Below are 14,643 nucleotides of genomic sequence, written 5' to 3' on the forward strand. Positions count from 1 at the left end.
GAGGGATATCTTCAAAAAAGAAGGCTTAAAATATTCATTGCATCTATAAGGTTTCTCTCCCACAAGAGTTCCAAAAGGGCCCATTACAATCATAGTATTCATGGAACTTCTATTGTGTCTGAGCTGATGTGACTAATCAAAAAAGCTCTCTCATATTCCAAGTCACTGCATGGACTTTCTTCCTTCCTGCTGGGGTTTCTGATGATTAGTAATAGCTGATTTCTGAGTAAAGCTTTTTGACATTCACTGCATCTATAGGGCCTCTTTCCTGTGTGAGTTCTCTGGTGACCAATGAGAGTTTACAAAGTAGCGAATGCTTTCTTACAATCACTGCATTTATATGGTTTCTCTCCTGTATGAATTCTCTAATGTACAGTGAGACAGGATTTAACTATGATGGCTTTATTACACATGCTACATTTGAGGAGTTTCTCACCTGTATAGGTTCTCTGTTATATAATGAGAGTTGACTTACAGGACAAAACCTTCCCACATCCACTGTATCCATAAGATTTCATTCTTGCATGGCAAGTTTTTCGATGCTTACTGAGACCTGTCTTTTGGGTGAAAGCTTGTTGACCTTCATTGCATCATAGGGTCTCTCTCCTGTGTGAATTGGCTGATGAGTCATGAGATATACCTTACTGGAGAAGGCCCTATCACAGTCTGAGCATTCATATGATTTATTTCCTATATGAGTTCTCTGATATACAATGAGATTTCCCTTTGATGTGAAGGCTTTATCACATACATTGCATTTGAAGGGTTTCTCACCTGTATGGGTTCTCTGATGTATAACAAAGTTTTTTTTGGAGGATAAAACCTTCCCACATTCACTGCATTCATGGGATTTCCTTACTGCATGATGAGTTTTCTTATGATTGTTGAGATCCAACTTCCAGATGAAAGCTTCTTGACATTCACTGCATCCATAGGGTCTTTCTTCTGTATGAATTCACTGATGCTTCATAAGCTGAGCCTTTTTCAAGAAGGCTTTCTCATAATCCAAGCAAGCATATGGTTTCTCTCCTGTGTGAGTTCTCTGATGTATAGTTAGCTGTGTTCTAACCATGAAGGCTTTATGATAGACTTTGCACCTGAAAGGTCTCTCTCCTGAATGAGTTCTGAGATGCAAAATGAGGTTCGACTTCCAAGGAAAAGCTTTCCCACATTTACTGCATCCATAGAATTTTCCTTTTCTATGAAGAACTTTCTGAGGATAACTGAGCTCAGATCTGGTCTTCAAAGCTGTTTGACATTGAATGCATTAATAGGGTATCTCTCCTGTGTGAATTCACTGATGAATCATGAATAAAGCCTTTTTTGAGAAGGCTTTTTCACAATCTGAGCAAGCATATGGTTTCTCTCCTGTGTGAGCTCTCTGATGTACAGTGAGATGTGTCCTAACCACAAAGCCTTTATCACATACTTTGCAAATGAACGGTCTCTCTCCTGAATGATTTCTTTGACATAAAATGAGTTCTGACTTCCAAGGGAAAACTTCTCCACATTTGCTGCATGTACAGACTTTCCCTTCTCTATGATGAGTTTTCTGATGATACACAAGCCCTGAATTTGTAATGAAGGCTTTTTGACATTGATTGCATCAGTAGGGTCTCACTCCTGTTTGAGTTTGCTGATGAGCAATGAGCTTTAACTCACTGGGAAGGGCTCTCCTAAAATCATGAGATTCCTGGGATTTGTTTCCTGCATGAGTTCTCTGAGGCATGGTCATGAGTAGTTTACAAGTATTCACTGCACATTCACTGCATCCATATGATTTCTTTCCAAAAAGAATTGGTTATAATTAGCAAGCTCTGACTTCTGGATGTTATGAAAGCTAGTGTACGCACAACAGAGTAAGTGAGATAACAAGAAGAGGTCCAGAAAAAGGCTTCTTTTCCCATTTACCATAAAAAGATATTAGTAAGATGGTTAAATTTGAGTAAGCTCTGTATTTTAAATAATAATACTATATCAATGTCAATATTCTGATTTTGATCACAGTATTCTGATTATGCAAAAGAATGCTCTTCTTCCTATGAAATACACACTTGGGTTTTAGGGTAGAGTTCAGAAAAACCATATGTACCTGTGTGTGGTGTGTGTGTATAGATAAAATAAAGCAAATTGGTAAAATCATATTTTGGGGAAATTTGCAAAAAGAATGTGCAAGAATTTTGTGTATCATTTTGGAACATCTCATTAAATCTAGACCATTTGGAGACAAGCATTTTCAAAAGGAGAAAATAAAAATAAAGATATTGATGAAAACATACATAGGGACACTAAGTATAATGGCCTGAATGTAAAAGAGATAAACAGTGTAATATTCACCCAATGCCATTCTGCACAGGACTCAGATTCTTGATCTAGGTGCTGGTTGCACAGTGTGCTGACTAGAAAGTTACCTAGCTGTATAATTACATTATATGTATGTTATACCAAAACATTTTTCATTAATAAGTAAACAAAAACGTTTAGGCCGAAATCAGGGAATGCTCCCTTGTAGGAGGATCCTGAAAAGAATTTGGATCTTGTGCTAACAGTAACAGGATGCCATTACCAATGATAGTGGGAGCAGGATGACATGTCCTGATTTCCAATTTAAAAGCAACATCCTGTGTGTATGTTTATCAGTAATTAACACTGACCATGTCTTAAATATTATGGCATGAATATTTTTAGGCTTGCACCCTGTGAATGAGTACAGATTTGCTACATCATATAGCATTTTTTAGACCATAATTTAGATCTTTCCATCCTCCAACTAAGATTTACCTTTTTATATGAAGCTTTAATTACTTTCCGCAACACTTTTGTCAAAATCTGAAGTCTTTTAAGAACCAAGATGTTTCTGATGTTTATTTTAATGTTCAGGGATTTTGGAGGTGAGGGGCTAGAAACACTGACTCCTGCCCCTGACTCCCGCCCCTGACTCCCGCATTTATTTTCATAAATGAAAATAGTAAAATAAATTCATTAAGGGTATTATGTGGAGAATAGAAACAAGAGTAAAGGACTGAGAGTATATTAGAGAAAACTATCATAATTTTGGCAAGAGATAATGGACATCGAAGCTTGAGTGAAAATAACTGTTAGAGAAAGGAGTAGAGGACCTCGAGATATAAGGAGAAAGTAAAGTCTAAACTTGCTAAATGGACTGGATTTGTGGGATGAGTGAAACGGTGAAGCAAGGATGACTTGAAGTTTGAGTTAGCTATTAGATCTCCAAGCAATTCCCAGGCAAATGTAGGAGGATAAGGAAATATCTAGCCTGTAGAGAGAAATCTGTGAGTCATCAACATATAAATAGCATTGTTAAGTCCATGAAATCGAAGAGGTCACACTGGGAACAAAGAAAAGAAATTACCAATGATGAAGCACCCTTACGCCCTCCAACTCTGAAGGCTTTGGGAGAAGGAGATGCCCAGAGAATGGAAAAAGTCCATCCATCACGCTCAAACAATAAGTACCCAGAAAAGAGGCCAACTTAAGTCTTAGGAACCAACATCTGTGGGAAGCAAGATAAAATGAAGTCTTCTCAGCTCTTCACATAAATGTAAGTGCTGTCACTCTGTTTCAGATTCATTCTTCTTTAATTCTGCATGCAACAGTCAATGAACTTTCCCAAAGATTTTTTTTTTCTTGAGACGGAGTTTCGCTCTTGTCACCCAGGCTGGAGTGCAATGGCGCAATCTCAGCTCACTGCAACCTTCGCCTCTAGGGTTCAAGTGATTCTCCAACCGCACCTCTGGAGTAGCTGGGATTACAGGGCACTCGCCACCATGCCCAGCTAATTTTTGTATTTTTAGTAGAGACAGGGTTTCGCCATGTTGGCCAGGCTGGTCTTGAACTTCTGACCTCAGGTGATCCACCCACCTCGGCCTCCCAAAGTGCTGGGATTACACACGTGAGCCACCATGCCCGCGCCTTCCCAAAGATTTCTAACACCATATATACAGGAACACCACTGTGGTGAGCACTCCCACCTTCTAGGTTGCTTTGATACATTCTCATATGATTCACTCAGGTCTGTAGGAAATACAAAAATCAGGCCAAATATCCTTACCCCAGGATAAAAGGCAGTGCTGTGATGATGTGTCGATTGTGAGAATCTAAGTCAATATAAAGAGAGAAAAAGGCACATTTTCTTTGAAACGCCAAACAAAAGAGAGCCTCATCAATGATCTAGGTATCTGTAGTCACCTTCCAAGTCTTTGCCCTGTTAAACACATTTGGAAGGGGTCCAACCCTCATGGTCAGCTCCTTTACTTTCCAGGTCTCCCATCTTGTTGGTTCTCACTCACCTGAAATGCACTGACCTCACATTTTATCCTCTATTCTCCATGTTTGAAATTAAATATCACTGGCTGGGTGCGGTGGCTCACACTTGTAATCCCAGCACTTTGGGAGGCTGAGGCGGGCAGATCATGAGGTCAGGAGATTGGGACCATCCTGACCAACATGGTAAAACCCCAGCTCTACTAAAAATACAAAACTTAGCTGGGTGTGGTGGCACACGCATGTAATCCCAGCTACTCAGAAGGCTGAGGCAGGAGAATTGCTTGAACTCGGGAGGCAGAGATTGCAGTGAGCTGAGATGGCGCCACTGCACTCCAGCCTGGCGACAGAGCAAGACTCCATCTAAAAAAAAAAAAAAATTAAAGATATCTGGTTTGGTAGCTTAAGAGCCTGTTTATGGGAAATGACAAAGACTTGAACACTTATAATTGGGCTTGATGGGAGGTGTCTATGAACAGCACAGAAATGTTTCTGGAACTGACACACTTTCAGCTCGGCAGATTCAACATCTACTATGACAGAGGCTGCAGTGAGCCAAGATTGCACCACTGCACTCCAACCTGGGTGACAGAGCAAGACCTGTCTCAAATAAAAATTAAAAATAAAAAAAAGTAAAATAAATACATAAGGAACCACCCCCAGCTGACAGCCAGCAAAGAAACAAATCTCAGAATTAGTCTGCCAATACCCTGGATAAGCTTGGAAGTGGATTCTTCCCAGATTCTTCCAATAAGAGCCCTGTTGGCCCACACCTTGACTTCAGTCTTTGAAACCCAGATCAAAGAAACCAGTCAAGCCAATCCAGACTTCTGACCTAAAGAACTGTGAGACAATAAATTTGTGTTGTTTCAAGCTGCTAAACGTTTGTGAGAATCTGTTTTGGCATCAACAGAAAATTAATACATTATTGACACCAGAAACATCAGAAACAGGCCAGTTGTGGTGGCTCATGCCTATAATTCCAGCACTTTGGGAGGCTGAGATGGGCAAATCACCTGAGGTCAGGAGTTTGAGACCAACCTGGCCAAAATGGTGAAATCCCATCTCTACTAAAAATACAAAAATTAGCCAGGCGTGGTGACACACACCTTAATCCCAGCTACTCAGGAGGCTGGGGCAAGAGAATCACTGGAACCCAAGAGGCAGAGGTTGCAGTGAGCCATGATCGTGCCACTGAACCTGTGTGACAGAGTGAGATAAGAAGAAAGAAAGAGAGAGAGAGAGAAAAGGAAGAAGGAAAGAAAGAAGAAAGAAAAGAAAGAATCAGAAACAACTTAAGTACATCATACATTCTTACATATTTATTCACCTGTATTCACACTTAAGGCACTCTGTATGAAGCTACATTTCCTCATTCCACCTTTACCTGAATCTTGATTTTATGGTTTCTGTTTAGTTTTCCTTAAATTTTTAAATTACAAATGTATGTATTTCCATTTAATAGTTATTTGTCTTAAGCCTTGCAAAGTCATTGGAAAGAAAGGCAAAAGAAAGAAGCAAAACCTCACCGGGGCTTTTATCGTTTTTTTCTTCGGTTCTTAGGAAAAGGATATCATTTCTAAGGTATGATCTAGATATTGTCTTTTCTGATTCTGAACATCGGACAAAAGATCTCTTTTCAAGAGAAAAGAAGACATGTCAGAGAGAGGCCCAGCTTTTAGAATTGTGACAATTACTCAATTTCCCTCCCTTAATGAAGGACAACTTTTTAAAAACACAAAGCTGGCCAGGCGCGGTGGCTCACACCTGTAATCCCAGCACTTTGGGAGGCTGAGGTGGGCGGATCACAAGGTCAGGAGTTCGAGACCAGACTGGCCAACATGATGAAACCCCGTCTCTACTAAAAATACAAAAAAAAAAAAAAAAATTAGCCGGGTGTGGTGGCAGGCACCTGTAATCCCAGCTACTCAGGAAGCTGAGGCAGGACAATCACTTGAAACCGGAAGGTGGAGGTTGCAGTGACCCACGATTACGCCACTGCACTCCAGCCTGGGCAAAAGAGCGAAACTCCATCTCAAATAAACAAAAAACAAAAACAAGCAAACAAACAAAAAGAACAAAGCTAGGGTTGGAAAAAGCCCTCAGAGGTCAGACTAATCAGCACCAATGAGGAATTTCTAGTCCTCTACCCCCACCCCTAAATACAGATACAGAAAAAGGCAATGAGAACCTGGAATGTCTTCTCCCTTGCATGGGATCAGAGCCAGGCAAGTTCTGGTGGGAGAGCTGACACTGGATTTCTACTCTGAGGTCTGGCAGGTTCTAGTATTTACAGACCCAAGTTCTAAACTGGGAATCAAGACAAAGTGGATGGAATCTGTAAATCTGTGCACCAGCAGTTGTAGGTTTTTAAGTGTGTCAAATTTCTTTATACATAAATCATCTTCCCACTTGTAATAGAAGTTCTTTTTAAAAGTTGCTGACTTAGTCCTCAAAGCACTGCATTGTAGACACTGTTCTAGAAGCTTTCTGTTAACAGTGATGCAGTTGTTAATAGGCCAGTTCCGGACACTCCATAGGACACAGACACCTACACACCTAAAAAAGTTTCATCTGGGGTGTAAAAGGAGAAAGTCAGCAGAGTAAGGTTAGGTAAGACCCATGCCCTGAGTCCCCTCCCCAGCCTCCAACATGGGATCCATCTGGCCCATGAGAGCAGGAAGAACAAGGGCAAACATGTCCCACACAACAATGGGATTCTGTAGGACTGCTTCCCACCTCAGCCACACAGCAGGGCAGACTCACCAAGAACCGACTGGGTCTGACCCACCAAAGACTGCCCCAGCCAAAGCAGAACTGCCAGATGAGCTCAGAATTAATATGCCCAAGGCCAATTCCCTCATAATGTTGCCTACAGAAGCCCCAGCAAGCACCGGCTAAGGTTCTGACTACTACCGTCTTCAACTGCCTTGAACACCCAGATAGAATTCACTCATGTGTGTGGGGGAAAGAAAGATAGATCAGACTGCTACTGTGTCTATGTAGAAAAAGGAAGACATAAGAAACTCTATTTTGATCTGTACTAAGAGAAATTATTCTGCCTTGAGATGCTGTTAATCTGTAACCCTAGCCTCAACCCTGTGCTCGCAGAAACATGTGCTGTGTTGACTCAAGGTTTACTAGATTTAGGGCTGTGCAGGATGTGCTTTGTTAAAATGTGTTTGCAGGCAGTATGCTTGGTAAAAGTCATCACCATTCTCCAGTCTCGAGTACCCAGGGACACAATGCACTGCGGAAGGCCGCAGGGACCTCTGCCCAAGAAAGCCTGGGTATCGTCCAAGGTTTCTCCCCACTGAGACAGCCTGAGATATGGCCTCGTGGGAAGGGAAAGACCTGACCGTCCCCAAGCCCGATACCCATAAAGGGTCTGTGCTGAGGAGGATTAGTGAAAGAGGAAGGCCTCTTTGCAGTTGAGATAAGAGGAAGGCATCTGTCTCTTGCTCGTCCCTGGGAATGGAATGTCTTGGTGTGAAACCCAATCGTACATTCTATTTGCTGAGATAGGAGAAAACCACCTTATGGCTGGATGTGAGACATGCTGGCAGCGATACTGTTCTTTACTGCACTGAGATATTTGTGTAAAGTCAAACATAAATCTGGCCTATGTGCACATCGAGGCACAGCACCTTTCCTTAAACTTATTTATGACACAGAGTCCTTCGCTCATGTTTCCTGCTGACCCTCTCCCCACCATTACCCTATAGTCCTGCCACATCCCCCTCTCCGAGATGGTAGAGATAGTGATCAACAAATGCTGAGGGAACTCAGAGACCAGTGCCGGTGCGGGTCCTCCATATGCTGAGCACCGGTCCCCTGGGGCCACTGTTCTTTCTCTACTTTGTCTCTGTGTCTTATTTCTTATTTCTTTTCTCAGTCTCTCGTCCCCCCTGACGAGAAACACCCACAGGTGTGGACGGGCTGGACCCCTTCAATGTGGAGAAAAATGGCCAAAGGCAGATGTGTGCCAGAAACCCCTACAGGGGCTAAACAGTCAAGACACACCAGCCGCTAACTAGAATAAGTTGTTAGGCCTCCTAACTGTACTTCCCATAAACCTCAACTGCCCAGCACAGGTGTCTCAAGCACTGCCCATGGCCAAACTACACTTCCTAGGAAGCTCAGCAGCCCTGTTCAAAAGCCTCAGTTCCCAGAGAAGGCAAAGAGGGGCTAAACACCGGGTAGACTACACTGCACAAATTCAGCTGAGCTTGCTTCTCCCTCTCAGGGAACCTGGTGCTGATTGCTGGTAATTGCCTCCTTCTGGTCCCTCCCTGGGAGGATTAACATCCTAGGGGCATTGGGTCCAGTGCGTAGACTGAGCTTCATCTGCCCCTTGTTCAGGTGGGGGGAACCCATCAGTAAATTATAGTTTTTATAATCCACTTGATTCATATGGGACATTTATAGCAGCTATTTCTAACATCCTTTTCTGCTATAAGTGTGCCACTTCTGGGTCTCTACTGAGTTTTCTTCATGTTATGGGGTTATATTTTCCTGCTTCTTTGCACACCTGGGTAAGTTTGTATTGGATGCCAGACATGGTCAATTACTGACTGGTAGATTGCTTTCTATTTCTTTATTAGTCTCTGTTTGGAAAATTGCTAACTTACTTGGAAAGTATGGCCTTTTCATGGCTTGCATGTATGCTTTGTGAGGAGAGTTCGAGGCAGCCTTTACTGTAGAGCAAATCTGAGCCACCCACAGAGGCAATACTCCTTACTTAAGGTCCACTGTGATTCTCCAAATGTTAGGAGGCGTTTCCACTCCAGCTGGTGGAAATGCTTGTGTGTAATCCAAGGATTTTTCTGCGTGTTCATTTCTTCCTGTTCTTCCTCCAGCCTAGGGGGGGTTTCTCACATACATATGCTGATTATGACTCAAAAGGCTTGTGGGGGAAACTCTACAGAACTCTCAATTCTTGAGTGCAGCTCTTCTCCAATAATCCAATTCATGAATTTGGGCCACCTTGAATTCCTCAAACCCTAAACTCTGTCTCAATTCAGAGAGATGGCTGGGATCTGCTTGGGTTTCTCCTCCCAATCCTGCAGACTGGAAACTTTCTCCAGGCACTAAGCTGGGGCAATCATAAGGCTCATCTCATTGTTTCCTTTCTGTCATGGAAAGCTGTCCTAAGCCCTTTACTTCTCAATGTCTGATGAAGTTCATTCATATATTTTGTGCATCTTTTTTAGATATTTAAGGCAGGAGATTATATACATTAGACATTTACTGTAAAAGAAAAAGGGACTGTTTGGGTTGGCTATGAAAAAGTTAGTCAATATCCAGGTGCATTATGTCATATGCATTCCGTACTCATAATGAAGTATGTTAGTTTCTTTTCCCCCCTTTTTTAGAGTCAGAGTCTTATTCTGTCACCCACGCTGTAGTGCAGTGGCATGATCATAGCTCACTGCAGTCACTGCAGCCTAGAACTCCTGGACTCAAGCAATCATCTTGCCTCAGCCTCCCAAGTAGCTGGGACTATAGGCACACACCACCATGTCCAGCTATTATTATTTTTTTTTTTTTTTGTAGAGGTAGTCTCGCTATGTTGCCCAGGGTGGTCTCAAACTTGCGGGCTCAAGTGATCTTCCTGCCTTGGCCTCCCAAAGTGCTGAGATTACAGGTGTGAGCCACTGTGCCTGGCCAGGTAGGTTAATTTATATAATTTCAGAATAGATACAAATTTACGTTTAGCAACATTTCAAGCACCATAAATCTCATGTTCTTTTTGGACATTTAGGAGTTATTTTCCAGTGCTGATGTGATTTTAACATTTCAAGAGCATCTATAATGCTCACATATAACAATCATAGCATAAGATTCTCTGATTATAGAATAAAATCTTAACATACTTGCCTCATAATAAGATAGGGAGATTATCCTGGCTTATCTGGGTTTTCACAGTGTAATCACAAGGGTCCTCAAACATGGAAGAGGGAGACAGAACACTCAAGTGTTTGAGTGATGTAAGACTGATTGGCCATTGCTGGTTTTGAAAGGAGGCCCCAAACCACAGAATTTGGGCAGCTTCTAGAAGCTGGAAGGGCAAAGAAAGACGCTCCCCTAGAGCCTCCAAAAAGAAAAGCAGCCCTGTCAACAGCTTGATGTAGCCCCGTGAGATGCATTTGGACTTCAGTCCTCCAGAACTGTAAGATAATGATTTTGTGTTGTTTTAAGCCATTAAATTTGTGTTAGTTTGGTGCAACACTCATAAAAAACTAACACAATTTTACTTCCATATTTGTTATATTCATAGGTTTTCATTACATAATACTATTCCTGGGGTTCAAGATTTCATTAAACACGTCCCTCCAAGACTCTCAAGACATAAAAGTATGATACATGAGTTAATTTGGTGAGTTGCCATCATTTCTTACTTTCAAGAGTTTTTCTTTTCTACAAATTCTCCCATATTTTACGAAAAATGTTTTCCATATCCATTGCCTCTACAGTTGTCTATGTTTCTTTGGCACACGAGGCACAATTTAGCGCTAAAAGCACCATCACAATCTTTCATAAATATTCCTGTAAGAATTCTTTTGATACCAATTGAGATATCATCTCCAGGTAAAGACTTCCTCATAACAGCTGCATTTCTACCCAACATGATTTCAATGGTGTTTAACAGGTTTGACTTCTCACAGAAATGTCCTCCACAACCACTGCCTCCACAGTGTTTCAGCCCTAAATGAGCTCTCTGGGATATAATGGCTGGAGGATTCCTACTAAAGATTTTCCCACCTTTCTGGTATCAGAAGATTTATTCTGATACAATATCTGTAAGATACAAGATATAATTTATTACTGATGGGGCCACATTCACTTCATTTGTGAGGCTTATTCTCTGTTCAAATTCCTGATTAACTACAAAGGCTTGATTTCTTGGAAAAGGTTGTTCCACAATCACTACATTTCTGCCCACTAGGCGCTCACTCTTGTTTAACAATGGCGGGGTTCCTGAGGAAGGCATTTCTATAGGTACTGTGTTCACAGTCTTTTGCTCTTGTATGAGTTCGCTCATGTATAAGGAGGTATGACTCCTTGAGGAAGGTTTCTCCACCGTCAGTGAATTTATGGCTGTCTCTCTTATGTGAGTTTTCTCATGTTTAATGAGGACTGACATGTGGGCAAAGGCTTTGCCACATTCTCTGCATGAATATGGTCTCTCTCCAGTGTGAGTACGCTGATGCTGAATGAGCTTCGACTTGCTTCTAAAGGCTTTTTCACACTCACTACATTCATAAGGTTTCTCTCCCGTATGAATCCTCTGATGTCTGGTCAGGTCTGACTTAAAATAGAAGGTTCTTCCACAATCACTGCATTTATAAGGCTTATCTCCTGTGTGAAGTCTCTGGTGTGCAGTGAGGTATGCCTTCTGAGAAAAGGCTTTCCCACACACACTGCACCCATAGAGTTTCTCTCCAGTATGTGATCGCTGATGTCTATTGAGCCGGCACTTCCGGCTGAAGGCTTTTCCGCATTTGCTGCATCTGTAGGGTTTCTCTCCTGTATGGGTTCTCTGATGGACCATGAGCTGTGACTTTCTGGAGAAGGCTTTTCCACATTCACTACATTCATGGGGCTTCTCTCCTGTGTGAGTTCTCTGATGCTCAGTGAGCTGAATCTTCCTCATGAATGTTTTCCCACATTCACCACATCCATGGGGTTTCTCTCCTCTTTCAGTTCTCTGATGTTGAATAAGCTGTGCTTTCCTGGAGAAGGCTCTCCCGCACACACTGCATTCATGTGGTTTCCCTCCTGCACAAATTTTTTGTAGGTCATTGAGCTGTGATTTAGGGCTGCTGGGTTTAACACATCTATGGTATTTAACTCCAGTAAGAGTTTTGTCACGCTTGATATGGAGGCATGATCTCCCATATCCACCAAATGCATCAGAATCTTTTCCTGCATATCTTCTACTCTGGATTACAAAACCTAAATGAGATTTCAAACTTTTACAATGCGAGCCAAACTTATTGTGTCTTTACATTAAAGGAACAATGCTCTTACATAAACCAAACTTATTTCCAAGGGCATAACTTTGTTGACATCTTTCAAAATGTTTAAGCTCATTTTGGTTTTCTGGGTACCACTGCATATGGTAAACCCCCCAAATTTCTCCTAGGAAAAAGCACAATATGAACATCCATGATAATTTTTTGTGGAGGTGGCAGAAGGTGCAAAAATGCCATGGTTTTGGCTGGCTTTTATAAGATCTCAGTCTCAGAGTAATGTACCTCACACTCTGTGAAAAAGGATGATACTATAAAACAGCAAAAGGAAAATACAGCAACTTCAGCAACAACAATGGATACTCTATAATGAATCAATACAACTTGGGCTGCCTCCCAAATCGGACCTTGCAAATGGAGACAGAATAGAAACAGAAACACATTGCAACTGGAATAAATCAAAAATAGATGGAGGGGATGGATGTATTCACCCAACAAACACTGAATAGACTGGTATTTGGGATACTACAGTGACTAATCATTATTCTCTCTCTCCATGAACCTGTCATTCAGGTAAAGACAGAGAATCAACAGGTATGCAAAGACGTAAGAAAATTACAGAATGTGAAGAACAGTACAAAGGAAGTGGCTCACATCATAGGGTAAGAAAAAGCAATGTTATGCAAAGAACAAAATAAAGAACATTCCAAGAAAAGGGAACAGCCAGTGTGAAAACCCAGAGGCAGAAAAAACTTAGGTGTGATAAAAAAAAAAAAATGTAAGAGAAGCTGGTTTACCCGGAATATCCTGAGCTTGAGTGAAGTAGAAATACAAAAGTTTGGCAAGGCTGGCAGGATTAAAAACATGAAGATTTTGGAGGAAGACTTTGTTAGAAACTGGAATTTATGCTAAGAACAATGGCAGTAAGCCACCAAACATTTTTTTGCCAAGAAAACATGTTCTGAATTGACAGTTCCAAAACATGACTGTCCTATGGAGAATGAATTGAAAAGATGAAATTATAGAAGGGAATATGCTGGAGGTTATGGCAGAATTCAGATGGCTTGATCAGGAATAATTACAATGGAGATGGAGAAATGTGAAAAAACAAGAACATAAGTATGGAGGAGGAAAAGATAGGATTCACTCTTAGAACACATGTTCCCAGCAGAAAAGCGAAGAATTGAGGATAACTGCTCAGTATGTGGCTTAAAACACCTATGTAGGTGCTGGTGCCATTTAATAAAATGAGGGTAAAAGAAGCCTCATACCAACCAGTAAAACACACACACAAAACAATATATGACCATTACTAAGTTAGTGCAGCATAGACACAAAGGAGATAAAAGTCAGAAAAGAGGGTGGCCAGGCGCAGTGCTTCACGTCTGTAGTCCCAGCACTTTGGGAGGTCGAGGTGGATGGGAGGAGTTCAAGACCAGTCTGGCCAACATGCTGAAACCCTGTCTCTACTAAAAATACAAAAAAAAGGATTAGCTAGGCGTGGTGGCAGGTGCCTGTAATCTCACCTACTCGGGAGGCTGAGGCAGGAGAATCCCTTGAACCTGGGTGGCAGAGGTTGCAGTGAGCCAAGATTGGGCCACTGCACTCCAACCTGGGCAACAAAAGCAAAACTCTGTCACAAAAAAAAAAAAAAAAAAAAAGAGAGAGCTCCAAATGTGCCCTGGCATAGTCAAAAACTAGTTCTTGGAAGTAAAACAAGAGCCGACAGCGAAAGAGGGCAGTATCTGGATGTAAAAATGCAACGTGATCAAATGCACAGATGTCAGTCCTCATGTTATTTGACATTATCTGTAGCATTCAATAAAATATATGTCTTCCTCCTCCTTGGAATAATTTTGTCACTTATTTCATGGACATCTTCTGACTCTCCCACCACAACCCTGATACTTTTTCTATGTGGCTGGGTTCTCCTCTTTTGAATCTCTGAATATATGTGGACCTCTTCTTTCTTCAAGCAACACTCACTCCTCATGTCTTCTCATCAAGTTCCAGTGCTTTGATGGCCCCTGCCCAGAGGGGAATGAAGCCATCACATCAAATGGAACTCACAGAAAAAGAGAAGTCAGTCAAACGTGCAGCAATGGAGGCGATAAGAACCTCTACTACCATGGCCTACTGTGAAGTGGGACTTCAAGAGTAGAGTGTTCAAAACAATAAAAATTAACAGGAGCAGCTGAGACATTCAGACGTAGAACAGAGTAAACCGAGAAGACTCAAGGCAACTCCAAGGTGACCAGGCACCGGAGTGATGAGCAATACAGCAGAACCTAAATATAATGCACAGGGAGGGAAAGGATTTTCCAGGAGGAAAGAGAATCACAGTTTCTAACCCTGAAGCTGAGGGAAGAAGAATTTCACAGAA

General features: G+C 41.7%; 1 protein-coding gene and 1 pseudogene across 16 annotated transcripts in view; both read right to left on the bottom strand.

Annotated features, from left to right (window-relative positions):
- Positions 1–14,643, bottom strand: part of ZNF577 (zinc finger protein 577) — an 83,510-nt gene that overhangs the window by 57,022 nt on the left and 11,845 nt on the right. For 5 of the 16 annotated variants that reach the window (NM_032679.3, NM_001370447.1, NM_001370448.1 and 2 more), the window contains one exon: positions 5,585–12,243. The exons of 8 other annotated variants lie outside the window; for them this stretch is intronic. In NM_032679.3, coding sequence (NP_116068.2) covers positions 11,069–12,243 — 1,175 coding nt within the window. In that variant the 3' untranslated portion in view covers positions 5,585–11,068. Of the gene's footprint in view, positions 1–5,584; positions 12,244–14,643 lie in introns of those variants that run through there. 3 more of the 16 variants (NM_001135590.2, NM_001370450.1, XM_047439551.1) reach the window with 1 other exon arrangement.
- Positions 196–1,940, bottom strand: LOC100419706 (zinc finger protein 84 pseudogene; annotated as a pseudogene).

Source organism: Homo sapiens, chromosome 19 (genome assembly GCF_000001405.40).
Source record: "Homo sapiens chromosome 19, GRCh38.p14 Primary Assembly".
NCBI classification, from domain to species: Eukaryota; Metazoa; Chordata; class Mammalia; order Primates; family Hominidae; genus Homo; species Homo sapiens.